The sequence below is a fragment of the Homo sapiens genome, chromosome 5, assembly GCF_000001405.40.
Source record: "Homo sapiens chromosome 5, GRCh38.p14 Primary Assembly".
Classification (NCBI taxonomy): domain Eukaryota; kingdom Metazoa; phylum Chordata; class Mammalia; order Primates; family Hominidae; genus Homo; species Homo sapiens.
The window spans coordinates 38,436,029-38,461,596 of record NC_000005.10 but is presented as its reverse complement, the minus strand read 5'-3'; the positions used below and the strand labels follow the sequence as shown (position 1 = coordinate 38,461,596).

General features: G+C 45.8%; 1 protein-coding gene and 2 long non-coding RNA genes across 9 annotated transcripts in view, besides 1 other annotated feature; 2 read left to right on the top strand and 1 right to left on the bottom strand.

The window, feature by feature from the left end:
- Positions 1-25,568, bottom strand: part of EGFLAM (EGF like, fibronectin type III and laminin G domains) — a 206,922-nt gene that overhangs the window by 3,884 nt on the left and 177,470 nt on the right. For 2 of the 4 annotated variants that reach the window (NM_152403.4, NM_182798.3), the window contains 4 exons: positions 23,142-23,322; positions 13,218-13,296; positions 10,139-10,282; positions 3,203-3,286 (listed from right to left, as the gene is read on the bottom strand). In NM_152403.4, coding sequence (NP_689616.2) covers positions 3,203-3,286; positions 10,139-10,282; positions 13,218-13,296; positions 23,142-23,322 — 488 coding nt within the window. Of the gene's footprint in view, positions 1-3,202; positions 3,287-10,138; positions 10,283-13,217; positions 13,297-15,894; positions 16,052-23,141; positions 23,323-25,568 lie in introns of those variants that run through there. The other 2 variants (NM_001205301.2, NM_182801.3) reach the window with 2 other exon arrangements.
- The window catches only part of EGFLAM-AS5 (EGFLAM antisense RNA 5), a 33,866-nt gene that overhangs the window by 6,770 nt on the left and 1,528 nt on the right, over positions 1-25,568 (top strand). For 3 of the 4 annotated variants that reach the window (NR_199672.1, NR_199675.1, NR_199674.1), the window contains one exon: positions 284-672. The exons of the other annotated variant lie outside the window; for it this stretch is intronic. This is a non-coding gene — a long non-coding RNA (EGFLAM antisense RNA 5). Of the gene's footprint in view, positions 1-283; positions 673-25,568 lie in introns of those variants that run through there. 4 annotated transcript variants of the gene reach the window in all.
- LOC124900965 (uncharacterized) lies at positions 15,351-16,517 on the top strand. The gene is made up of 2 exons (XR_007058738.1): positions 15,351-15,524; positions 16,000-16,517. It is a non-coding gene; the product is annotated as an uncharacterized LOC124900965 (long non-coding RNA).
- Positions 19,545-19,594: a silencer, noted in NCBI's record as "silent region_15980". NCBI's record gives its function as "represses an Ori minimal core promoter by ATAC-STARR-seq in GM12878 lymphoblastoid cells {active_cell/tissue: GM12878}" and the evidence as "EXISTENCE:reporter gene assay evidence [ECO:0000049][PMID:35858748]".

The following is a 25,568-nucleotide window of genomic DNA, read 5'->3' as shown; positions in this document are numbered from 1 at the left end:
TCTTAGAATCCTGTATCTGAATGCTGTGACAGGCAGAACCCGCAACAGCTTGCCTTGCTTGCCCTGCCTTTAAAAAAAAAAATTAATTACTCTAAAATATTCCATTTTTTTCTACTTACTCTAGTTCATAAAGTCTAAGAGTTTTTCATTTTTTATATCTAAAATGAAGATATACCTTATAATCAATGGCATCTTAGATTTGAAAAAATGTGGCATCACCTTCTAGCATAATAACATGCTTCTTTATCATGTTTATTACTTATTGTCTGTTGCTTCCCATTAGAATGCAAGACCATCAAGGCAAGGATGTTAATTTTCTTCAATGAGGTATCTCCTGTGTCTGGAATGATATAAGGCTCATCCCAGATGATGAATGAACAGTGAATCTGTGGAGCTTCAGCATCCTCACCTAAGATGGGAATAGCTATGCCCATCTCCCGAGATTATTGTGGAGATCAGATGTTATGCGTACAAAGCACAGGGCATGATACCTGATACACATCTTGCTCTATAAAGACTGGTAGAGGAGTGTGTTGTTATTGTTATCAATATCATTATCATTTTTATCCATAAAATGAAGATTATAAAACCTAAGTTGCTGTGAATATTGAGACAAAGTATGAAAAGTACCTGGCAACTGGAGATGTTTAATAAACTGGAATTTATTTTCTCTTTTCTGCTGGGATTAATGCCTGCAAGAGCAGGATGCCCCAGAGCAAGACACTGTCCAAAGCAAGGCCCCCTGGGCAATCTCCTTTTCATTGACACTCCTATCTCTAACCCTGGAGCCTGCTACAGAGAATTAAGGTATCTGCTCAATCCTTCTTGCCATAATTGATATCCATGGCCTTGACCCAGTTCCCCCTGAGAACTCTTCCCTTCTAGGCCTGTCTGCTCACAACTCACAGTATCTGCTGGAATCCTCCCATTCATCTAGTTCCTGGGCTCGACTCCTTCTGTTCAGCCCTCATTGCAACCTAAGACCCACCAGCAGAGGTATCCATGATGCCAACAGGAAAAGCCAAGTCTGCTAAGCCATCTGCATGGTGCCCAGCTTGACACTCTGACATGTGAAATTCTTCCTGTAGAACATTCCACTGCCTTATCCCTCCCAAACATCTGAAATCCTAGCTTTGGGTGGGTTTCATCATGGGGTAGGATGGAAAGGGCTTTGAGCTGGGATTCTAATCTTGGCTTTTCCCACAAACAGTTGTATAGTCTAGGGGAAGATCATTTAACATCAGTTTCCTTAGATGTCTAGGAAGTGCCTGGTATCCTCACCAGAGTGTATCTTGATACACATAATCAAACCCCAACAACAACTGGGAAGGCTTAAAAATTATTCCACAATGTGTGAGTATTCTACCAATGATCTCCACCCAAGGAAACTGGGAGAAGGGTGTTGTTCCCTGATGTTCCCAGGGTGGGGATTTGTAGGGATCAAGTGTGGTTAGAGGTAAAGAGCTCAAGCATTTCATATTCCTTTGGATGTCTCTGGCCAAGCCCCTTTAAAGATGGGTAAGAGGCAGAAATGAAGAAGTTAGAAGCCATAGAGTTTGGAGTATTTTGGAGTTAGGCTGGGCTCTGAATTTTTAACTTGTAGTCTAGAAACTATTTGAAATCCAAGCATGTGGATATTCATGATGGGACAACATTTCTTTTTTCAGAAAGTTAGAGTTGAGACTTCATCAAAATCAACCTCTGTCTCAAGGGCTTTCTAGACCATCTGGGAAGCTGAGAGGCACAGATCTGCCTCTGTATCCCCATTTCCTCTAGGGTTTCAAAGGCAGGCCCAACAGCCAGGGTTGGGGGCCCAGCAGCCAGGGGTTGGGGGCCCAGCAGCCAGGGGTTGGGGGCCCAGCAAGTCTCTCCCCATTGCAGCCTATATGGGAGCTGAGTAGGAAAGTAGCCATGGTGGGCGCCATGTTTCCCAGGCCTCACTCATGACTTTACCCACTGGCTTCCCCAGAAAGGGTTATGATAAATTCTCAGGGAACCCCAACCAGACCTTCATTTCAGCTTATCTTCTCCTGGGACCTTCATCTAACTTGCGAGATTGACATTTCTAAGTTTCAGCCTGCTATTTCGTTTCTGAAAATATGTTGTTAGAAATATGGACAAAGGTATTAATAGTAAAACTATTATATAAAGAAGAGCAAAGGAATGATTCATCCAAAGTTAATCAGAAGTCAGGATGGTGATTACCTCTGTGATGGGGGAGATATGTAATTGGGGCTGAGTGAAATACAGTCAGGTTCTAAGGTTTAGGTAATGTGTAAAAAAAAAAAAAGTGGCCAGGTGCAGTGGCTCATGCCTGTAATCCCAACACTTTGGGAGGCCAAGGTGGGAGAATCACTTGAGGCCAGGAGGTTGAGACCAGCCCTGGCAACATAGCAAGGCAGATGGTGCACACCTGTGGTCCCAGCTACTCAAGAGGCTGAAGTGGGAGGACTGCCTGAGCCTGGGAGGTCAAGCGAGGCTGCACTGAGCCATGATGACACCACTGTACTCCAGCCTAGGTGACAGAGCGAGAACCTGTCTCAAAACAAAACAAACAAAAAAAAGCCAGAGGGAGGGGGGAGGATTGCCTGTACAATGAGATTTGAAAGTCTTTTTTTTTTTTTGAGATGGGGTCTCACTCTGTCACCCAGGCTGGAGTGCAATGGCATGATCCTGCTACCTCCACCTCCCAGGCTTAAGCGGTCCTCCCACCTCAGCCTCCCGAGTAGTTAGGATTACAGGCGTGTGCCACCACATCCAGCCAATTTTTGTATTTTTTGTAGAGACAGGGTTTCGCCATGTAACTCAGGCTGGTTTCAAACTCCTGAGCTCAGGTGATCCACCCACCTCGGCCTCCCCAAGTGCTGGTATTCCAGGTGTCAGCCACCATGCCCGGCCCAAACATTCTTTAAAGTCCACATACACTGAACTCTCAAGGTTCTTCCAGATCAGCCATCAAAAGGTTTCTTCTCCAGAAGGTTACTGCTTAATGAAGGTTTGGGGGTTCAGTTTCCCTGGCCTGATAGTGTCAATGTAGGGCACAGCGGGAATTGGTAGAAAATTCCCTGAATGCCCTGGATCAGGGGTAACTAGGATGCCAGGCAAAGTTGGGGAACAGGACAGTGGGACTACAAGGGAACTGGACACCACATCCCACCACTGCTCAGCTCTGGCTCTGCCTCATGCTGCGGGAGGGACTCACCTAACGGCCTTAACTCGGTGCCACCGACCATCGTTGAAGGAGCCATTCACCATGATGGATGCCACACCACTGCCCAGGTTATAGCTAAGGCATTGGAGAAGAAGAAGACAGAGAACAGAATAAAACACTGAGGCATAAGCAGACACGGTTCACAGACGATTCTCAGGGCAAAAGTTCTTTGCAACTCAGAGTGCAGTTTCCTTAACAAAAAACAAGAGTGTTATAAAAGTTGTTGGGTTTCTAGGCTGGTTCATGAAATTAAAAATTATTAAACTTTTAAATTATGGTAAAATATATGTAACATAACCATGGCCATCGTAACCATTTTTAAGCATACAGTGCCGCAGCATTAAGTACATATTCATATTGTTGGGCTGGCAATTTCCAAAACTCATCTTACAAAACAAAAGCATTGCATTAAATAATAACCCCTCATTCTTCCCTCCCCCCAGCCCCTGACAACCAGCCTTCTACCTTCTGACTCTGTGGATTTGATTCTTCTACATACCTCATATGAGTGGCATCATAGAGTATTTGTCTTTTTTGTGACTGTGACTGGCTTACTTCACTTAGCATAATGTTATCAAGATTGTTTTTTAATGCCCTCATGTAAGGCAACATCAGTACTAAAGTATCAGGAATAACAAGAAGGGCTTTATCATGTGTAATGTTTTATACTATGTTACGATGATGGTCTGCCCCCTCCCTCCACCCGCCAAATTCATGTCTACCCAGAGCCTCAGAATGTTACTTATTTGAAAATAGGGTCTTTGCAGATTCATTAGTTAAAATGAAGTCATACTGGATTAGGGCAGCCATGGATCCAATATAACTGGTATCTTTATGAGAAGAGATTTGGACATGGAGCCAGAGACACACAGAGACAGGGAAAGCCATGGGAAACTGGAGGCAGGGACTGGAATGGGGCATCTCCAAGCCAAGGAATGCCAAGGGCTGCCAGCCACCACCAGAACCTGGGGGACAGGCATGGAGCCGATTCTCCCTGAGACCCTCCAGAAGAAGCCAACCCTTGCACTGCATGGTGGATTTCTAGCCTTCAGAACTGTGAGAGAGCCCACTTCTATTGTTTTAAGCCACCTAATTTGTGGTCATGTATTATCAGAGCCCTAAGAAATGAATGCATCTGTTTTCACTTTTTAAAAAAAAATGAACATTGCAGAGTAGGGTGAGCCCCAGAGAGATTAAGGGAATTTGCCTAAAATCACAAACCTAATGTAGAACTTGAACTTGGTGTATCCTCTGCCCTTATCCATTTAACTCTGCTATCAGGTTTCTCTAGTGGCTTCCTATTTTCTATTTCAGTTCCCAGATACCCCGATACCATAAGGGTTTCAGAAAACATGAACATGTTGTTACCAGAGAGAAATATCCCCCTTAATCCAGTGTTCATTCAATTATTCTAATTAAATTTAATTCGACAAATATTTAGTGAGTGACTACTCTAGCCCGGGCACTGGGCCAACTGCCCAGACTTTCCCTGGATAATACAATAAAGCCTAGGCCATCAAGCTTTTGAAGGGAAGTATGTTCCACCTGGGATGACTCCCTCCTCATTTTGTAAGAGGACATATCTCTCCTTCACCTCATTGCCCAAGAGAGAGGGATGTCGAGAGAAAATCTGGATGAGTTAACAAGCACTGGCATGTACTCATTCTGAGAAAACAGCAAGAATAGAAAGTGCTTGGCTTTCTCCAGAGAAAGCACCATAGATCATTCCTTTAATAATGGAGGCTCGAAGAACTCACACAGCCCATTGACATTTAACCAAGAATAGGACTTGGGGTGACTTGACAAACCCTGGGACAAAGCTGCCACTCTGACCCTGAAAAGTCCACTGTTTTCTAATGAGTTTTCCCACATCAAGTACCTCCTTGTATAAAGCAGCCTGGTGGCGGAATTTTGAGATTTCATGATTTGGTGGCTAAATACTTCTTGAATGAATAGGAAGTAGGGCGAGTTGCTGGTGGGCAGAAACTTAGCTGAATTACTATCTATGGCCGTTCTGAGAGGCAGCGTGGGGTGATAGAAAGAGCACGGACACTCAGATTCAACGGACCTGCCTTGATCCCCAGACTCGCTAGTTAACAGCTCTGTGACCTTGGGCAACTTGCTTCATATTCTCATCTGTCAAACGGGGATAATAATCCCTTCCCTGAAGAATCCTAGGGAATGCTAAGTAACATGACATATGTAGGAAGCACTGCACATCGTAGGAGCCAAATGAAAAATCCCACCACTCCCAACAGAGGCAGCACTTAGTGCAGCTTGGATACGGGGTTGACAATGCACCCCAAGGGACTGGTAGGAAGGAGAAAGTTGCCACCAAGGCTTGAATATGTCACACCTCTTCTGAAGACTAGCCATGTGTGAAAGTAAGCCAACAAGCTGTCAATATATAACCAAAGCAGTCCGGAACACCCAGATCTCAGAATCAAGGTGATCTGGCTGTGTACGTGAAGGGAGGCTGGATTGGAACATGATTGTGGTGCAGTGAATGAAAACCTTTTCAGTTGTCTAAGAGCCCATCTAGACAAAGGGTGCCCTTCCTTCTGTTCTGCAGCCCGACAACTCTCCTGTTCAGGCCAAGAGCTAGAATGTGCTCTAGGGAGTCAACCGTGAACCTGGCAGACAGGAATCCAGCCATCACTGTGGGAGGGGGCAACTCAGTTGGCTTCTCCATGGCCCGATTCCCCAACCCTTCAATTCCATCTGATTTCAGACCCTCCAAAGAACCTCCCGCTTCCTCTGACGTGCTGATACTCACCCTGGAAAAGCTCCCTCGTGTATATAATCATAAATGACCAAGAAGAGTGGTTACCTTCACTGGGAGAAGAATGAGGGAGCATTTTTGGGTGGTGGACATGTTCTATATCTTGTTCTGGGTGACAGTGATTCAGTGTTTACATATTCTAAATGTATCAAGCTCTACACTGAACAGGTGTGCATGGCATGGAAGGTATGCCTCAGTATAAAAATGTAGAAACAAACAGATATAAGAATGTATGTCTAACTTCTCTACCCACGTCTTGGGAACCTGGTTGCCATGATGGGTTATTCTGAGCCACTCAGCTTGGTGTGCACTAGAGGCTGTGAGCCAGAGCACCAAGGTGGGCCACCCGGAAATACCTTCAGGTGAGGCCTTTTGGAAACCACTCGGCCACCTTCCTGCTTTCCTGTGGTGGCACTTTTAATCATGCCCCCTTTAAATTGTAGCACAAGGCACTTTGCTAATGTCAAGTCTCTTCCCCCTCTTCGTTGCATGAAGATGTGATGAGGTGAAACTAAGCGGGCAGTGTTCACTGTGAACAGTCAAGCAATGTTCACAAACCCCACCGGTGGTAGGTTTTATGCCCCACATACAATCACAAAACAAAATGAAACAAAACAAAAACAAAACAGAAAACAGAAAAACACACTCATTTTCACTGAGCACTTTGATTTCCTTATTTTTTCTGCTAAATCTTGCACCAAAACTATAAATATATATACATATATACATTTTTAGAATCCCATTGTTTTTCCCTATTCTCTGGCAGAAAGCCTTTGAGCACTAAATTAGCCAAAGAACCAGCTTTTAGGTAAAGAAAGTCATGAAAGTTGGGACTATATTTTATTATCTTAGGGTTCCTCTTCCATCTGCTTTGAGCCTGGATCAAACACTGAAACCTCAAGAACGATTTGTCTGCTCTGTAGAACAATTCACTCTCCAGACTGCACAGATCTGTGCCCCTTGGGCGCAGGGCCCGTGACTTATTAAAAATAACAATAACAATAATAAAAATAAGAACTACATTTTAATAATAACTACGTGTTCTCTCTCTGAGGTAAAGGCTTCTAAGACTCAGAAAATGCTTGAGCAAGGATCATAATTTTTCTTATCATTATCATTAATTAGCTACACCTGACCCCACACTGAACCCCTTACATGAATTCATTCATTTAATCTTTACAGCGAACCCTGTCGTTTTGCAAGGAGGGGACAGAGGCTGAGATTTAGGTAACTCATGAGCCCACGTGGGGGATCAGGCATGTGTGATTCCAAAGCCACTTCAGACCCTGTTTCTCAGGGCATGGGTCCCGGAAACACCCGGGTGCTTGTTTCTAATCAGACCCGGTGCCCACCACACCGCTGACATCTTCAAACCACTGGCCTACACTGGAATTCCTCTCTGTCCCCAGCCCGCCGGTACGCTTCCCTACATCAGCATCGGGGACATTGATGTGGTGGGATAACAGCCCAGATGGAGGAAGAACAGAGTGGCAGCAATGGGGCGGCTCCAGGACCAGAGCAGGCACAGAAGTCGACCTCGGCCTGGGTTCAGCAGTGTGTCTTACACAGATCACAATCAGAACTCCAGGATTGGAAGAAAAACAGAGGGCCAATTTTCAGAATCCTGAGAAAGAAATGGTAACAAGAAGTATGTTCAGGATAAAGCAGAGCTCTTTGAAGGATCCTAAGCAGGTGGGAGAGGGGAGGGGGCTCTCCAGGGCTGGGCATGGGAGCTGGTGGGAGCTGTTTCCCTACTGGAGTAGAATGGGTGGTGAATAGATTCAGCTGGCAGTTTAGGGGGAAGTTGGACCATCCCACCCACAGCTGAGCTTCTGTTTCGGTTCTCTTTTCTGGGCACAATCAAGTACTTGAGGCCTTGATGAGGTTAACCACAGGAAAACCATAAGAAAATGGCTTCAAGGCAGCCAGCCTGAAATAGGGTGTGAAGAGCTCCGTGTTCAACCTCTGGGCTAGCAATGGGTGGGAGGCTACGGAGGACAGGAAGGCAGAGATGGTGAGAAGCTGCCTCTCACCTGCCAGCATCCAGCCTCAACTACATATGAGTCTCCAAAGTCCCCAACAATCATAAGATGGAGTCACTTAGCATGCTCTGCTATTTAGGGAATAGCATAACATTGGACAAGTGACATTTCCTCTCAAAATGCCTTTTATTCAAACAGAAAGATTTCTGTTATCCTACTTGGGCTGTCAGTAATCTTAGCACAGGACCAACAGAAGCCCCAGAATTAAGTCTTCAGCTTCTCCACTGTTTAGTGATCCCTGCTTTGTCTATTTCAATTCAATTACTTTCATATCATTTAGCAAACACTTGAGCTAGTCATCAGAGGGTGAATTAAGAAGTAGAAGTCCAAGAAATGAGTTCCCCCATGGAACTCAAAGCTTTGAGGGTATCAGAATCGTCTGGGGAAGCGGTTACCACACGGATTGCTGGACCCCACCCCTAGAGTGTTTCTGGTTCAGTAGATCAGGTTGGGGCCTGAGAACGTGGATTTCTAACAAGTTCCCAGGTGATGCTGGGGCTGCTGGTCTGGGGACCACACTTGGAAAGCCACTGTCTAGATGAGCGATGTCTAACCTCATGTGAGGATGTGCCATGACAATCTCTAGAGAAGTGTTTTGATATTACACGAGACAGGCCCTGCCCCTTGGAAGCTCAGCTTTCACCCAATCTGGTAAGAAGAGTGGGGAGAACTCATTCAGGTAATTCTTTAACCACTTCATAGCTATGCATTTGACAAATTTGGAAACAGTCTAAATTCACTTAAAAGAGGGAAGAACTTCTGGCACTGCGTTATCGGTAACACCCAAGAAGTATTTACAAAACTCTCATGTTGGGTGGATCTATTGAGACATGAATCTGTGCTTTGTTCCTCTGGCAGCAGGAGACTTGAAAGCAGGGATTCTCCTTCCCACAGCTACACAGCTAACAGGGAGCAGAGTCAGAATTTAAAGTCAGGGCTCCTGGAGCTTAGGGTTTTAGACCTCCCTGAGCTGCTGAGTCTTAGGCTGAGTACTCACTTCTATGCTTGGCCTTTGTGCTTGGCAGTATCCAAGTCTTCTTTCTGCCCCTTCCTAATTTATGAGTAGGGAACATGCAGCAGTAACACACTAGAACAAGGGCACAGAATTGTTCCTCACAGGGCTAGACGGTCAATTCCTAAGGCTCTGCCATGCAGTTCCTATTGAAGCTACTCAAGTGTGCCATTGTAGCATGAACATGGCCACAGGCAATATATAAATGAGAGAGTACAAGCCAGGCACAGTGATTCATGCCTGTAATCCCAGCACTTTGGGAGGCCGAAGCGGGTGGATCACCTGAGGTCAGGGTTTGAGACCAGCCTGGCCAACATGGTGAAACCCCGTCTGTACAAAAAATACAAAAAGCCAGACATGGTGGCACGTGCTATAATCCCAGCTACTAGGGAGGCAGAGGTAAGAGAATCACTTGAACCCAGAAGGCAGAGGTTGCAGTGAGCCGAGATTGCGCCACTGCACTCTGGCCTGGGCGACAACAGCAAGACCCTGTCTCAAAAAAAAAAAAAAAAAGTCCTGTTGGAATACTGCTGTACTCTTTTTTTTTTTTTTTTTTTTGAGATGGAGTCTTGCTCTGTCACCCAGGCTGGAGTGCAGTAGCGCGATCTCAGCTCACTGCAACATCTGCCTCATGGGTTCAAGCCATTTTCCTGCCTCAGCCTCCCTAGTAGCTGGGATTACAGGTGCCTGCCACCACACCCGGCTAATTTTTGTATTTTTTAGTAGAGATGGGGTTTCTCCATGTTGCTCAGGCTGGTCTCAAACTCCTGATCTTAAATGATCTGCCCACCTCGGCCTCCCGAAGTGCTAGGATTACAGGCGTGAGCCACTGTGCCCGGCCCCAGCAAGACTTTATTTACAAAAAAGAGTGGTGGGTCAGATTTGGCCTGCAGGCCATAGTTTGCTGACTGCTGCTCTATAAGATGAATGTTGGAAAGAAAGACCAGGAGCTTCCAATAAGCCTTGAAGCTTCAGGCTTCAGCCAATTCCAGCAGACTGTGTTCTGGCTCCCTTCTGAATCACTCTGGCATGATCTGCAATGTCTGAGAAAATCGCAAGGTGCTGCTGAAGGCAGATGGAGAGGGGGTTACCTGAACACGAGGGCTCCATCCCGAAGGCCCAAGGAAATGAAGTCGCTGTTGGGTCTCATGGGGCTGTCTCCCCTCCACAGCAAAAGGCCATCCTTGGCAGTTGTTTTAAACCTCATGAACACATTTGATCTTGATCCTGACACCCTGGAGGAAATACACAAATAAGTCCACCAAATCAACCACCAACATCTGTTTCCGAGTAATTCCAGTTTTGTCTGCCAGCCCTGAGGAACCAGATGTAAGGATAGTCTGGCACTTTCTGACACTTACTTCATTACCACGAGTCGCACCACGGGTCTAAAGGTCTGGACTGCTCACTCAGCAGCAGTCTCTCTCCCCAAGCACTGTGAACCCCACCAGAGAGCATTTGCTGAGTGACAGATTAGCAAGACTATGGCCAATGTCACAGCTTAGGCTGCACCCCCATACACACCTCATTCTTTTCTCTTTCCTGTTTTACTACTCAGGGGCCCCATTCCCCAACAGAAAGTGTGTTTCCTAATTACCAAGAGGTTCAAATTGGCAGCCACTCTGGGCTAGGACCACGGCTGTGGATGGCCAGCTCTGGCCGGTGACTGTCCTTGGGGACAAGGTCTAGACAGGGAAAATACCCAAGCGATGGCGTCTCAGACAAAGGAACAAGGCCTGATAGTGAATGGTCTGGAGTGGTGTTGAGGCAGAGCCAGGGTGGAGAAGAACAGGAAGCTTCGAGGAAAGGAGGGGTGCTCAGGCTAGGCCAGCTCCATGCTCTATAGCCACGGCTGGGAATAGGTTCACAGGCTGACATGCTCTTAGCAATGCTTGGGAATAGACTAGTTCAGAAATTCATTCTTATTAGTGTGATCAGTGTTTCATCTTGCACAGAGAAAAGAGGAAGGCTGAGGTCCTTGAATCAAGGGTGAGATAGGAGGAAACATAATTTAACATTGCTACTAGCATAATGTCATTGGAAAAGTTTCTTTGTCCATTCTCTAGTCACTTGAGCCATCCCTCTGTCTGTCTCACACACCTGGGTCTGTGTCTGCAGTGTCCTCAATCGTGAACAGTGGAGGGAACTATTATCTAGGCTTCCCAGAGCCTGAGCTCGTCAGGAAGAGACCAAGTTTGCATTTCCCATGCAGGGCCTCAGAACAGTGAGGGAAGAGCGAGGCCCCCCAGGCCAGGTTCAGCACAATCTAGCACTGACCCATTCCCTAGAGACCTGCTTTGCCCAGATTTTCGCTCAGGTTCCTTCCCTCTCCCATTTGCCTTGGGTATATTGATTGGTTACAAGCCAATCAAGAGGTTCTCATTTCTCTTGCCAGTGATTGGTTTAGGGGCAGGCATGTGGCAGCACAGAAGAGACACAATCATATCCCTTTTGTCCAATGAGATACAATTCTGGGAAGAATTCCTTCTCTTTTAAAAAGAGTCATATGAGAAAAAAAGTCTTTTGGACTTCCACTGGATGTAGTCAGAGTCATCTTATGTGCAGCTTATGGGCAGCTGGGGAGTGGCCTCTGGAGAAGACGCTGAGGACAGCAAGCAAGAAATAGGGATGAGATTGGAATATTTGAGGGTACAGCTGCTTCTCTTAATTAATCAACCCAAGATCCAGTGTAAGTCTGGACTCCTTGTGATATGAAATAGTAAATATCCCTCATGGGTAAGGCATTTTAAGCTGAACTTTCTGTTACTTGGCACCAAAGATATCTGACTGAAATAGACCCTGAACTTGACTTTTACCTGCAGCCTCACACACATGCATTTATACTTTCATATACATACACACACACACACACACATGCATGCGCACACACACATACACACACACTATGGCCCTTGAGGTAGCTGTGGTTTTGGGCCTCATGTCTCCTGCTCTCATCAAGCCCCTCTACTCCCCCAAACCACCTAGTGGTCTCTCACTAACCCCCAGAGACTGAAGGCTTGGGCCCCTTTCACGCTGTCACTGCTTTCTAGGGACTGAATGACCTTCCATCTTTGGAGAGAAAGGGCTGAAGAAGGAGGACGGTCTCTCTTGGCTGGGAATCCATTTTACCTAAGTCCCCATGCCAAGACAACGTAGATTAATACAACCTGGGATTAGAGAAGTGAAGCAGTGTCTGCCTGGTGTGTGTTGGGCGTTACCAGGGACATCCAATGCCCTAGGAGAATTCCTCCCAACCACATTTTGTTCCCTGAAAAGCCACCAAACTCCACCCTAAGAACTGGATGCCTTTCGCTTAAAGATTTGCCCTTGTGTGTTAAGATGCAGTCAATCTGAAGAGGAAGGAAAATCCCAGAATGATTGTGTGGGGAGCAGAAAGGGGAATAGCACACTAGAAACCACAAAGAACTGGGGAAGGGAAAGAAAGAGATAAGGGGCAAACTGAAAGTGCCAAAGACAAGCTTGACCGAGTTGAGGATTTTGCCATGTCAAAGGCTATTCCAAACCAAGAGCGAGGACTCCAGGCCAGGGCTGGGACTTCTGCCACCAGGGGTGAGATGCCATGGCTGTGACTTGGGCATTTCCCTGTATCCACATGAAGAGAGCTGAGAAGCCTCTCACTGAACTGGCCAGAGCCTGAAGAGGACAAGAGACCTTTGCTGATGAAGACGCAGGGTAGGTATGGACTCAGCAGGGAATGGGCTTGGATCTGTCTGTCCTTCTGCTGCTGGCCCAGGTCAGAGCTGCACACTCTGGCCACGGCACAGCACGGAACTGCCCTGCTCACAGAATCATAGTCATCACTCAGGCTTCAGGAACATCACATTCTCACTGTTTCTCGAAGCCTGAATACTGGAAACTCTGGGACCAGTCGTGTCTCTCTCTCCAGGCCCTTTGACCAGAAAGATACTGGATCTTTTGTAACAGGGTTATCTGAAAGGTCAATTTCTCAAGTTTAGTTTGTTTTTTGTTTTATTTTGCTCTAGTTTCTATGTTTATTTCTTGTTGTGTGTGTTTTTCCCCTGAGGCCATGGCTGAATGGTCTTCTTTGAGAATTATCTTCTGGCATGAAATATAAGAAAAAGCCCTGAGAAAGATATAGAGAAATTTACCCCCAGAAAGCTGAGGAAGGTGCCTGTTGAAGCTTATTACCTCTTCAAGATATCTGGGTTGTCATACGTCAGGTAACTGCGGCCGATAAACTGCGGGATCTCAATGGCTTCTATGATCGCTGGGACAGAACAGAAAAAGGAGGTTACATAGTATGTGGTTCTCTTGACCCCTGCACTCACACACATGGCAGGAAAACACCCAGCTCCTGGAAATAGGATGTTTAACAATTCATCAGCCCCTTCCCTTCGGCTGCACGCATATTTGGCCAGGTTCACAGTTGCCCAACCCCATGGCCTGGGGTTGGCTTCTCCCCCATTTTTCCCTCCTGGGGAAGTATTGTCCCTGCCTCTGGCCTCAGCGCTGCTGAGAAGGCCTCACAATGTGCTGAAACTTGAACTGTTCCCAATTATTCTTGGAAGCCAAAGAGCAGCTCTTGGGCCATGTGGGGAGCAGCTGGGGATAACCCCAGATGTTCTCCTAGGGAGGCAGAGAAAACAAATCCCTAAATAAGGCCCACTAGGATTCTTGAAAGCTAATTTGCTGCAGAACCTTTTAAGCTAGGACTTCGAGAGACTCTAAAGCACTATGAATGAGGCTTGGACTCCCGCATTTCTGATCACTTTCCAGTGTATTTCACAAGATCTTTTTTTTTTTTTTTTTTTGAAACAAAGTTTCGCTCTGGTTGCCCATGCTGGAGTGAAATGGCGCGATCTTGGCTCACTGCAACTTCCACCTCCTGAGTTCAAGCAATCCTCCTGCATCAGCCTCTCAAGTAGCTGGGATTACAGGCACCTGCCACCAAGCCTGGCTAATTTTTGTATTTTTAGTAGAGATGGGGTTTCACCACATTGGCCAGGCTGGTCTCGAACTCCTGACCTTAGGTGATCCACCCGCCTCGGCCTCCTAAAGTGCTGGGAATTACAGGCATGAGCCACTGTGCCTGGTCTATTTCACAAGATCTTCACTACAATCTCATGAAGTAGCAGGTAGTATGGGGGAAGGGAAGGGTTGGTTATTCTCATTTTATGGAAGAAGAAAGTGAGGAGTAGAAAGCATGGAGGATTTGCCTGAGATCACGTAGTTAAGAGAGCACTAGGCCTTGAAACTGACCAGCTCTTCTTAATTCTGGCTTCTGGCCCCCTCTCAACTTTCCAATATTTTAGAAATGCATTTTCTTCCTCCCAAACTCTCATCACTTTGTTTTCCTGAGGAATTACCCTTTTACACATAGTTAGCAAAAGAAGAGTTTAAGTAGCTGTGTGTGATGTCATGAACGGGGGATGAGGCTAGGGGATTTCTGCTGGAGAAATAACAGCAATATCTCTTTCCTCTTTGGAAAGATACAGAAATGGTGGTTTAAAGAAATTAAGGTAGAATAAATCTCAAATTCAAAGAAATGTACAAAATGAGGGAGAATAAGAAGGTTTATAAAACACGTTATAGCTTCACGAAAATACATGGTTGGTGCAAAGAAGACACTGAACGAAGGACTCTCCACCCCAGAGAGGAAATGTAGAATTATTTGATACTATGAAAATTCGTACAGATTAACCTTCAAACATAAAAAAAGAGCGGAAACAGCAAAGCCTATGACAATGGGCCCCCAAGTACAAGTCCCTATGTTGGCAGCTTCCCAGAGCCTTTCATAAAAACTAAAAAAGAAAGGAAGAGAGGAAAGAAAACAAGAAAAGCAAAGGACGAAACAGAAAATTTAAAAGACAATTTTGGAGGTAACTACCCAAGAAATTGCTCTGTGGTTCTCTGAAGCAGCACAGCCCTGGAAGAGGGCCTGAGGCTGCAAGGACCTAGCAGGGCCGGAGATGAAGGCTCTTGTCACTTAGTTTGGGGCTGCACCCCCAGCCACTCCCTTCTGACTAAGGGAGGTAGGAGGAAGAGGAGACGAGGAAGGGAAACAGGGAGGAAAAAAGAGTTGGGGGGCAAAATGGCAAGAGGACGGGAAAGGAGCCGAGTAGGAAAACGGGTGGCATGAATGAGAAAGAAGGGACGCTGCAGCAAGAAGAGGAGGAAAGAAAGTGCCGAGGAAGACAACCGGGAGAGAAGGCAGCCACCGGGCAAGGAAGGACGGGAAACAGAAAAGGAAAGAAGGCGGCGCCGGAAAAGGAGGGGAGGGAATAGACCCAGAGGAATAGACAGAAAGGCCAGGGAGAAGGAGGATACAGCGGCAGGGAACTGCAAAAATGGAGGAGGTGGAAGGAAGCTCTCAGCCGGGGCAGCCGGCCCCTCGTTTCAGGACACCATGGCTGGGAAGGGAGAAGGAGGAGAGAAGATCCAAGCTGAGCGGTGGGGGAGGCCTTCCCGGAGCTAAACGGAACCAAGGAGTCCCTGGTGGGTTTGGCTCACCCCCACGGGGGAGAGGTACCGCCAGGGCCTGTCCCTGCTGTTGTTGGCCCGTGGCGGTGGGCCTGTGGCCAACAGCCATCTTTCCCCTGAACTCCTTGCAAGGGTTGGGACGTGCCTGCCACACATCGGCTCTGCACATGAGCTTCCGAGGGGGTCTGTGGGCGCCCCCAGCAGCTGCCGGCTCAGCCCCCAGCTCAGGAGAGAAGTGTCCTCTGGCTGGCCGGCGGGGAGGCTTCCCACCACGCGTAGGCATGTCCCAGCTCCCACACCACTCACCCCGGGTCCCCCTGCATGCGGTTGGCCTGCCCCAGCCCAGAGCGCTCTCGCAGTTTCTCACAGGACTTACTGTACTTACTATTGAGGCAGTAGTTCCCACACTCTGCCCGGTGCCAGCATGAAAGAGAACAGGGAGAGTCAGCCTTTCACAGTCCTTGTCAAATCCCAATTACTCTGGTTGCAGATCACTTGAAGCCAGCCTTGTTTCTCTCACAAAGCTCTGCCCGAGAGTCCAGAACGTCCTCTTAGGGAATGTGAATATGAGCCCCGCGGGGAACCACTGGAAATCTCTCCTCAGCATGATTGGCACCCAGCCACCCGCCTCCTCACCTCTTCTCGGCTTATTGAAGGTGGGCGTGGCGGTGGACCAAGAAGATGTTTAGAATCAGCTGTCTGACACTTCTGAGGCTCCCTCACCTTCAACTGACAATCTGCATTTCTTTTAAATCTAGAGAAACAGCTCCTTGCTCAAGAGTTACTTACCTTGTCAATGATTATTACTTTTCTTGGCTGTAGGCTGCATGTGAAAAAGGAATGATAAGCCAGCTAGCTGCCTCTTCTCTCTCCCTAGTGGAAAATATCGCCCTCATTCCCACGCCACCCCCCATTGCAAGATTCCAGACCCCTGGTTATTTTCTGATTAACAAAGGCAGAGGCACCCTCGAGAAATAACACCACTGAATAAAAAATAGTCAAACTATGCTTCATTTAAGTGAGTATATATAGGGACAAATAATCACATCCAAAATCATCAGAGCTTGAAGTGACCACTGAGCCCTTTCTGGCTCTTTGTAGTTGGTTTAAATGTTGTAAACATTACTATTATTATTATTTTTTGAGACAGAGTCTTGCTCTGTTGCCCAGGCTGGAGTGCAGTGGCGCGATCTCGGCTCACTGCAACCTCTGCCTCCAGGGTTCTAGCGATTCTCCTGCCTCAGCCTCCTGAGTAGCTGGGACTATAGGCATGTGCCATCATGCCTGGCTAATTTTTGTATTTTTAGTAGAGTTGGGGTTTCGCCATGTTGGCCAGGCTGGTCTCGACCTCCTGACCTCAGGTGATCCACCTGCCTGGGCCTCCCAAAGCGCCTGGATTACAGGTGTGAGCCACTGCGCCTGGCCAACATGATTATATTTTAACCTAACCCTATACCTAATTTTTTTGCTTTTATTTTATTGAAAAAAATTTAATTGACACATAATAATTTTACATATTTATGGGGTACATAGTGATGTTTTGATACATATATAGTAATCAGATCAGGGTAATTAGCATATCCATCCCATCTCAAAATGTATCATTTCTTTGTGCTGGGAACAGTCAAATGTCCTCCTGCCAGTTATTTGAAACTATATATTATTGTTAACTATAGTCATCCTATAGTGCTGTGGAACACCAGAATTTATTTCTCCTATCTCCCTGTAATTTTGTATCCTTTAACAAATCTCTTCCTATTCCCCACTTCTCTCTACCATTTCCAGTATACCTAATTTTTTCTACATTGCCTTTTTTCTGTGGCAATGGCCTCACTGATTAGTTGAAATGTGTTTTTTTCATTTTCTTACATTTATATCTAAAAGCTTGTGCCATATGGTGACACACACAGAAAAACACCCCAGTGGACAGCAGCCTCCAAGCCAGAAGCCCTGCAGTCCAGGCAAAGCAAATTTTCCATTTGAGGAGCTTGGAATTCCCAATAGACTATAAAGAGTTGGTCAGGTGTGGTGGTTCACACCTGTAATCCCAGCCCTTTGGGAGGTCCAGGCGGGTGGATCACCTGAGGTCAGGAGTTCAAGACCAGCCTGGCCAACATGGGGAAACCCTGTCTCTACTAAAAATACAAAAATTAGCCAGGCATGGTAGGGCATGCCTGTAATCTCAGCTACTCATGAGGCTGAGGCAGAAGAATAGTTTGAACCTGGGAGGCGGAGGCTGCAGTGAGCCAAGATCACGCCACTGCACTCCAGCCTGGGGTGACAGAGTTAGACTCCATCTCAAAAAAAAAAAAAAAAAAGAGTTGAAGGGACCACGGTTTCTTTCCCACGTTCACGGGACCTTAGCAAAGCAAAGGGCCCTGTGGGCATGGAAGGCTAACTTCCCCAACAACCAGGGCTCCTCTCAGCAGCATCCTTGATGGATGCCCATCCTGCCGGAGCAAACACTTCCCACAATGAGCAGCTCACTCTTCCACAAGGTGGCACGCTCCCGTGCTGGACCATTCTACTAGGTACAGAGATCTTTATTATAGTATGCTGACGGTAGCCACAAAGGAAAAACAAACAAAACCTTTCCCTAAACTAGCAGCCCTTCAACTATCTAAAGAGCAACATCTATACTAAACACCCCCAGATCTCCCATTCTGGGGGTGTTTAATGATATACCATCCACAGAAAAGAAATCCCCTTGAATTTGGCTCATGTAGTTGGTTTAAATGTTTTCTAAAGGAAGTTATCCTTCGCATTTTAGTGCATAAATACATCAAAGCATGACTCTAATCATCTTATATTTTTTATTTTTTGAGACAGAGTCTCGCTCTGTCACCCAGGCTGGAGTGCAGTGGCACGATCTCGGCTTACTGCAAATTCTGCCTCCCGGGTTTAAGTGATTCTCCTGCCTCAGCCTCCCAAGTAGCTGGGATTACAGGCATGCACCACCACACCTGGCTAATTTTTGCATTTTTAGTAGAGATGGGGTTTCACCATGTTGCCCAGGCTAGTCCCAAACTCCTGACTTGAGGTCATCCGCCCGCCTCAGCCTCCCAAAGGGCTGGGATTACAGGCATGAGCCACTGCGCCTGGCCTGACTCTAATCATCTTAAAAGTATATATTGTTATGCGATATCAGGGCGTCTGAATGTTTGGTTGTCCTAGGGTTTGTCTTTGCAGACATTACTAAGCTGCTTCTTTAGCCATAGACATCTTATATGACCATGTGACTGACAAGGAATGTACCTTGCTAGTTTTAAGATGGAGTTGATTTTTTTTTTAATGTTGTCACCCTGGCTCTCCTATGCTCCTGGTTCCCTAACAAAGGTGCAGGAATCTTGGCAACCATCTTAGAATTGTGCTATTACAAGTTCCAATTACTAAAAGAGAAAATGACCAGAATGAGGGACTGGGAACAGCCAACATGGTCATTAGCTGAAGGACTGCAGCGAAAAGAGTCTGGGTATTTGTTTAATGTGTATGTTTGCATGTTTCACTCTTTAATTCATCTGTAAGATAAACGCAATTGAAATTTTTTTCCTATATAACAACCGAATTACTTGTGTAACAATAATTAAATAACCTCTCTTTTCCAATTAATTTGAAATGACTTATTTTTAATATATTAAACATATTTTAATATATTAAATTAAAAATATTAAAATAATTAATATATTAAAATTTCATATTTAGTATTAAATATTAACATATTATGTTAATATAATTTAATATTTTAAATCAAATAATATATTGATATTAAATATAAAAATTTAGTATATTAATTTTTAATATAATAAATGACATAACATTTAATATATTAAATTATATTAAAGAGAAATTCCCTTTAGCATGCATAATTTATGTGTTTTATTAATTTGTGGTTTTATATACAGAGTTTTCTTATATTTACAGAAGCTTTTTTTATATATATACACTGGGACCTAAAACAAACAAACAAAATCACCCAAATCAGACCCTGGAACATGATGTGACTCAAGTAAACACAACATAAATGCCCTAAATGTTGCATGTGTGGTAGGTCAGTATTAATCAGGCAGCACTGGTTACTTGAGGACTGTGCGCCCCTGATGAGTACAGGCGCTAGGCCTAGCTTTGTCTCAACAGCTATTGGCTCTGTCTTATGCGGGGCCACCTGCTACAGAGAAACACCGCCATCTAGTGGCCTGTGGAATCCTGCACAGTCTGAATTGAAGCTGTTCTAGAAACACAGGGAAGGGAAGCAAGGGCCAAAGCTTAGTTTCCCAGGTGACTTGTCCACTATAGACTGGGAGAACCCAGAGAAAACATCTGTGTCCTGTACTCACCTCTTAGACGCTCAGAGCATAGCAAAGGCTCTGAGAAATTCTGCAGAAGAGAGAGAATTGTCTGTTTACTCAGGATTATCCAAATGTATTTCACCATAGAAGCCTCCTCCCATTTCGTGTACGTGAATGCGTGTGTGTGTGTGTGTGTGTGTGTGTGTGTACAAAGCAGCGATTCATATTCCTCAGAACTTAGTTTTTTACATGAGCTTTGTGAAATTCTTCTAGAACATTTTAGTAACTTACTTAGATACACAAGCTCTGAGGAACTGGGACACAGGATGGGTCCACTGGATGCAAGTAAAGAAAAAAGGAAAGAAATCTCTAAGTATGGAAGTAATTTTTGATGGGGAAGGCCTTGTTGAGAAAAAAGGGGGCCTAGGTATTGGGGTAGTGCATGGGGTGGAGAAGATGCCTGAAACTGAAACCACCAAATGGAAGGCAAGGGGACCCCCAAGGTCAAACCTTATGTTTTTTTCTTGGCACCTGAAGTCACAGCTGGGAGTAAGAAGAACCTCTGGCTTCTCCTGTCCTGGTGGGTCTTGCAGGTGGGACAGACAGGTTTGAGTTTCTGCAGTGGCCACTGCTACAGGAAGCCTGTGGCATCCCAAGAGCATCTCAGATGCTCAGTGGGAGCTCAGTGCACCCCTTGGTCTGGGTCAGGCTCTCTTGCTCCTGCCCCCAACCCCACAGGGAAAAGCGGGGGCCCTGAAACCACCATGTAGTCCAAGTGCCTGGAACTGCTCCAGGATTTGTCTGAGTTTCTGGCCCCTGCTCTCCTGGGTTACCAAGAGGTGGGAACAAGTGTCAAATTGTCCAACTACGGCCCTTGTGGAACTCACTTGCCACACTCTCTGATGAGGCTGAAAAAGACCCAGACTCACTGACGATCCAGAAAACAAAATTCCTCATAAAGAAGGTGCCCTTTGGTATGGATTGGATGAGCCCTGGTGCTGGTTATTTCTATACCATTTTGCTTCATGTAAAAGGACTGGTTTAACTTCTGTAGGAATACTGGGAACAGGCTCTTGTTTTGAAACATGGTTTGATTATGAGGCAGAAAAAAACCCCAACTTTTAAATATATGAGGCTAAAAATCACCTTGCTGGATGAGACAGGATTCTTTCTGACAACCAAGGATGGCTTCTCACCATTCTTGGTCTTTCAAACCAAGGATTTACGCAAACTTTCTATGTATTCTCTTGCATCTCTATGGAACAACATAATCGCCCATCTCTTTTCCTTTTCTTTCCAATCTTTACAATGGGACTAAATGTTTTCCCCAATATTAGAGCAGTCGGCATGGCAACTGCCCACAATTGGTACCTGCTGGAGCTGGAAAAATTGTTGCAGAGCCCCATTAATCCTCTCCAGTCATTATGATGGAAAGGAAATTATGGGATAGGGGCCATACCTCTGATATATGAACCTTCCCAGGATTTGGAAAGGTTGCCATCTTCCCAGAAGCAGTATCTTGATTTCAAAACACAATCTGATACTAATTCAACATGGAGGGTGGCTGCTGGCTCATCTGGGTTCCAATCTTGGTTCTAGACTGCTTTGCAGGAAAAGAGTCCCCAATGTCCTGCAGTTCCCTCTGCCGTCATCCATTCCCACAGATCTTGCCAGATCCAGGTGCTCACTGGGATCTGCCCCAACATTCTGGTAAGATTTGCTTCTCATTGAACCTGAACCTATAGTTACAAAGCTATAAATGTGAGCACTTTATCCCTGTTACGACTAATGTTCTGCAGCAGGAAATGAGGGCTAACAAGATCACACATTATCCTTTCTTTCTCCCTTTAATTTCCAGTGCTAAATGTTCATCTAAGTCCGGGATTTACATATTGACCATTAATGTTAGATATACGGCAAGCACAAATTGGATGCTCCTGTGGTAAAATTGGAGACTTAGTAAATTCAAACATTGATGTGTGAAATCCAAACCCAATTTTCTGAATGAATGAGCCACTCTTCAGCTAAATCTCTGTAAGTACAACCTATTAGCTAAACAGCAATTTGCTTGTTAGGATTCTAATCAGGATAATTCACAAATGAATCAATTACCCTCCCTTGTTAAAAATACAAGGAAGATTTGCCATGTAGATTTCAAATTCATTTAAACATAAGAAATACTACTAAGGCTTCCAACTGGCAAATTGGCATCTTTCATATTTTCCAAGACTGCTGCAAAATGACAAAATGACTTCTCCTACCATTCCATATACCAACATACCTACCTGTAATTTATAGTTTTCCTCTAAGCCCTAATTCTGATAAAAATCAACAACCTGGAAATAAGAAAGACAGTGCACATTCCTTCAGAGGCTCATTGCTTTATTTCTTCCAGGCTTGTTTTTTTTTTTTTTTAAGTTCCTGGGCAGGAAAGGCCACACTGAAACTGAAAAATGAAGGCCCAACATGATGGATATATGTGGGAAGCCTATTCTAGATACCAGGGCCGTGTCCTCAGCTTCCCATAAGCAGGTACAGAAAGCAAGTCCAGCAGGGTCTCATGGTCTATGACCTGCCTTGGCTTTCAGTCTAGGGTAAGATGGAAACTGAGTAGCCCACAGCACCTGCTAATGGATTTTATTTTTCTCCCCACGAATAATAATGACCAGTATTTGTTGGTTGCTTGAGTACTTACCAGGCCCTCTTCTAAATGTTCTGGATCCATTGTCTCATTTAGTCAATACTATAACCCTCTGTGTTAGACACACAATAATACTGCTATTATTATTCCCATTTTACAGTTGAGACAACTGAGGCACAGCAATTTGATAGCCTAAAAAATAGCACTATACAGAAGGTTATGCATACTTTAGTTTGGAGCAACTAATGTATAATTTGTGTTTTTGCATATTTGGGCAAGGTTTCTCTTATACAGCATGCACAGACAGGGGTTAAAATATTTATCAGTCTACAAAGCATAGGCATTCATCTATCAGGATAGGCTCTGGGAGTGGCTCAGATGCAAAAGTCCTGGAAACCCCTACTCTGTTATGGGTTAACTCTTGGGTTGCTAGACTATGAGGTGATTCTCAAGGAAGGAGCCAGGGCAGAGGGTGGGGAACCTATTTACTCACTGTTAGCAGAAGTATTTCAGCATTTAACTCTTATTAAGGAATTATGGTAGTTTATAAATAATCATCTAATAAGTTATTGAAATAATTGATCAAAATAACCACTATGGTTGTACCACTGTTACAACTCTTCCATTAAGAGTTGTGGTCCCCCAATTGGCTGTCCGTTCCTTCCACTCCCTCCAGGGAGCTGTGCCTCAGACCCCTGAGCGTACCTTTCTGGCAGTGAAGCCCCTCAAAGCCCAAGGGGCAGTCACAGTCATAGCCCTCCTTCCTGGGCCGGCAGCTGCCCCCATGGGCACAAGGGGCTCTCACACAGGGGTGGGCCGCATTCTCCACATTCACTCCGGAGGTGAAGTCATGCTTCACATGGATGGTTCGGTCATTCAGGATGATCTTGAGAGAGAAAAACATAAAGAAATTCAGGAATTAAGAAACATCTTTGTAGTCTTCTAAAGCTTCCCTTGGCAAATTAACCTGAGCTACACATAGGGAGATTGAAAAAAAATTTTTTTAAGTCCAGTTTCCACTTTTTTTTTTTTTTTTTTGGAGATGGAGTCTTTCTGTGTTGCCCAGGCTGGAGTGCAGTAGTGCAATCTTGGCTCACTGCAACTTCTGCCTCCTGGGTTCAAGCAATTCTCCTGCCTCAGCCTCCCAAGTAGCTGGAATTACAGGCACCCGCCACTACGCCCGGCTAATTTTTGTTTTTAGTAGAGATGGGGTTTCACCATGTTGGCCAGGCTGGTCTCGAACTCCTGACCTCAGGTGATCCGCCCACTTCAGCCTCCCAAAGTGCTGGGATTACAGGCGTGAGCCACCGCGCCAGGCCTAGTTTCTACTTTCATAGTCTTGTCATCTATGCAGGAGCTGAAGTGATCCCAAGTTGATCCACTTGGGAGAATCTGCGGAGTGACGCGCTCCTCTGGTTCCGGAAGACTGGCCACTCGGTTAGGTTGTAAAGAAGTCCCAAGAACTACAAAGTTCGGATTTCAACCCAGCTGCACATTAGAACCACCTGGCGGGCTCTTAAGAAATACTAATGCCCAGACCCGCCCAGACCCATTGAACCAGAATCTCTGAAGGTGAGACCAAGTCGTCAGTAACTTTAAAAAGTTTTTGAGAGTCACCTCAGAAGATGCAGCCCAGGCTGGGAGACACTGGTATATAAAGCAGAGTGGGGAGAGTGCAAAACACAGTGTTACGGAGGCGGAAGTCAAACAGGGCACCCTGGCTCCCGGTGGCTGTGGAATCCAGAGACACTTCCTAGTGTACTCCTTTATGTTTCCAACTAATGTTCTCAAGCAGTCTCCTAAAATTCCATCAGCTGGACCTCCCCGATTGTCCCACTCACTCCTGCTATCCTCCTTCCCTGACGTTCCTGAATCCCCTCCCTCTGCACATTCCCTTCCCCACTTAAGAAACAAAAGTGAAACACAGGTCGCATTCTTTACCCCACTGTGCATGGATTTACTGGTGCTCAAGAGCTCCCTTGCACCTTCTGCCCTGCAATGTGACTCTAGTGAAACTGATAAATTATGAGGAGGGGCTACTGGGTTCCCTAGCCCCAAATAAATGGATCCAACTTTACCAGCCCTTGATTCAGAATATGGATTTACTTTGAACTGTTGCTGGCTTTGCAGAACTTCGAGACAGTAAGAACACCTCCCAGGGGAACCCCCACTGCCCAGGGGTTATAAGAGGTTAGCAATGGCACTTCCTGCCACGAATCTAAGCTTCCAAAGGCTTGCCTGGCCCTTGGAGAGCACTGGGAGAGTTGAGAGAAAACTTTTCCCCAGTCCTGAATCTGAGAAGCTGCTAGAAAGTAGCCAGGATCCTTCTACAATCTCCCCCTTTCAGGCTGCAAGTGAAGGACCATGAAACTGCGTAATATGTGCTGAGACAAGCCAGGAATGGCACTGTTCACTACAGGACATGGCCCAGCCCGTGAATCAGGCAAGAGAGGGTGGTCTTTCTAGCAGGAGATAGGGAGAGGGTTGTGTGTGCTGCGTGAAGGGGAGGGCACAGCCTGAGAAGAGCGGGCAGAGGATGGGAAACGTCTTAGCATCCCAGCTTGTTTCCTAGGTGAGAATTTGAAACACCTGGTTAAGCATGGCCAATCCCACTCATAGGGGAGAATGGTCTGAACTGAGGTATCACAGACCTCGAACTTCAGTAACAAAGGGAAACACGTGACTGTCAGCAAATGTTGACTGGGCCTGACACTGCGATGCGAGATAAAATGGTCACAGTACCAGGGGCCCTTTTCAGTGAAAGGAGGGACTTCTTTCATCATTCCTCCTTCACCTTAGCCTCCCTCATGCTCCATCTCAGGTCCAAAAAGGATCCTTTAGCCACCATTGGTCACTAAAGGAAAACAGGATGAAGCTAACACCCAGGAACTAAACATGCTTTTCTTCAGATCCTTGTTCTCCCAGTGTTTGGTGGTTCTGCCCACCTGGGCTGGGGAGTCAAGCTGCAGGTCTGTTGCAGACAGAGCATGACTTCATAACCACAGAGATCATGGGCAGCCCCAAGAGAAGGAATAAAAGAGAGCAGGCCAGAAGCAGTGGCTCATGCCTGTAATCTCAGCACTTTGGGAGGCCAAGGTGGGCAGATCACAAGGTCAGGAGTTCGAGACCAGC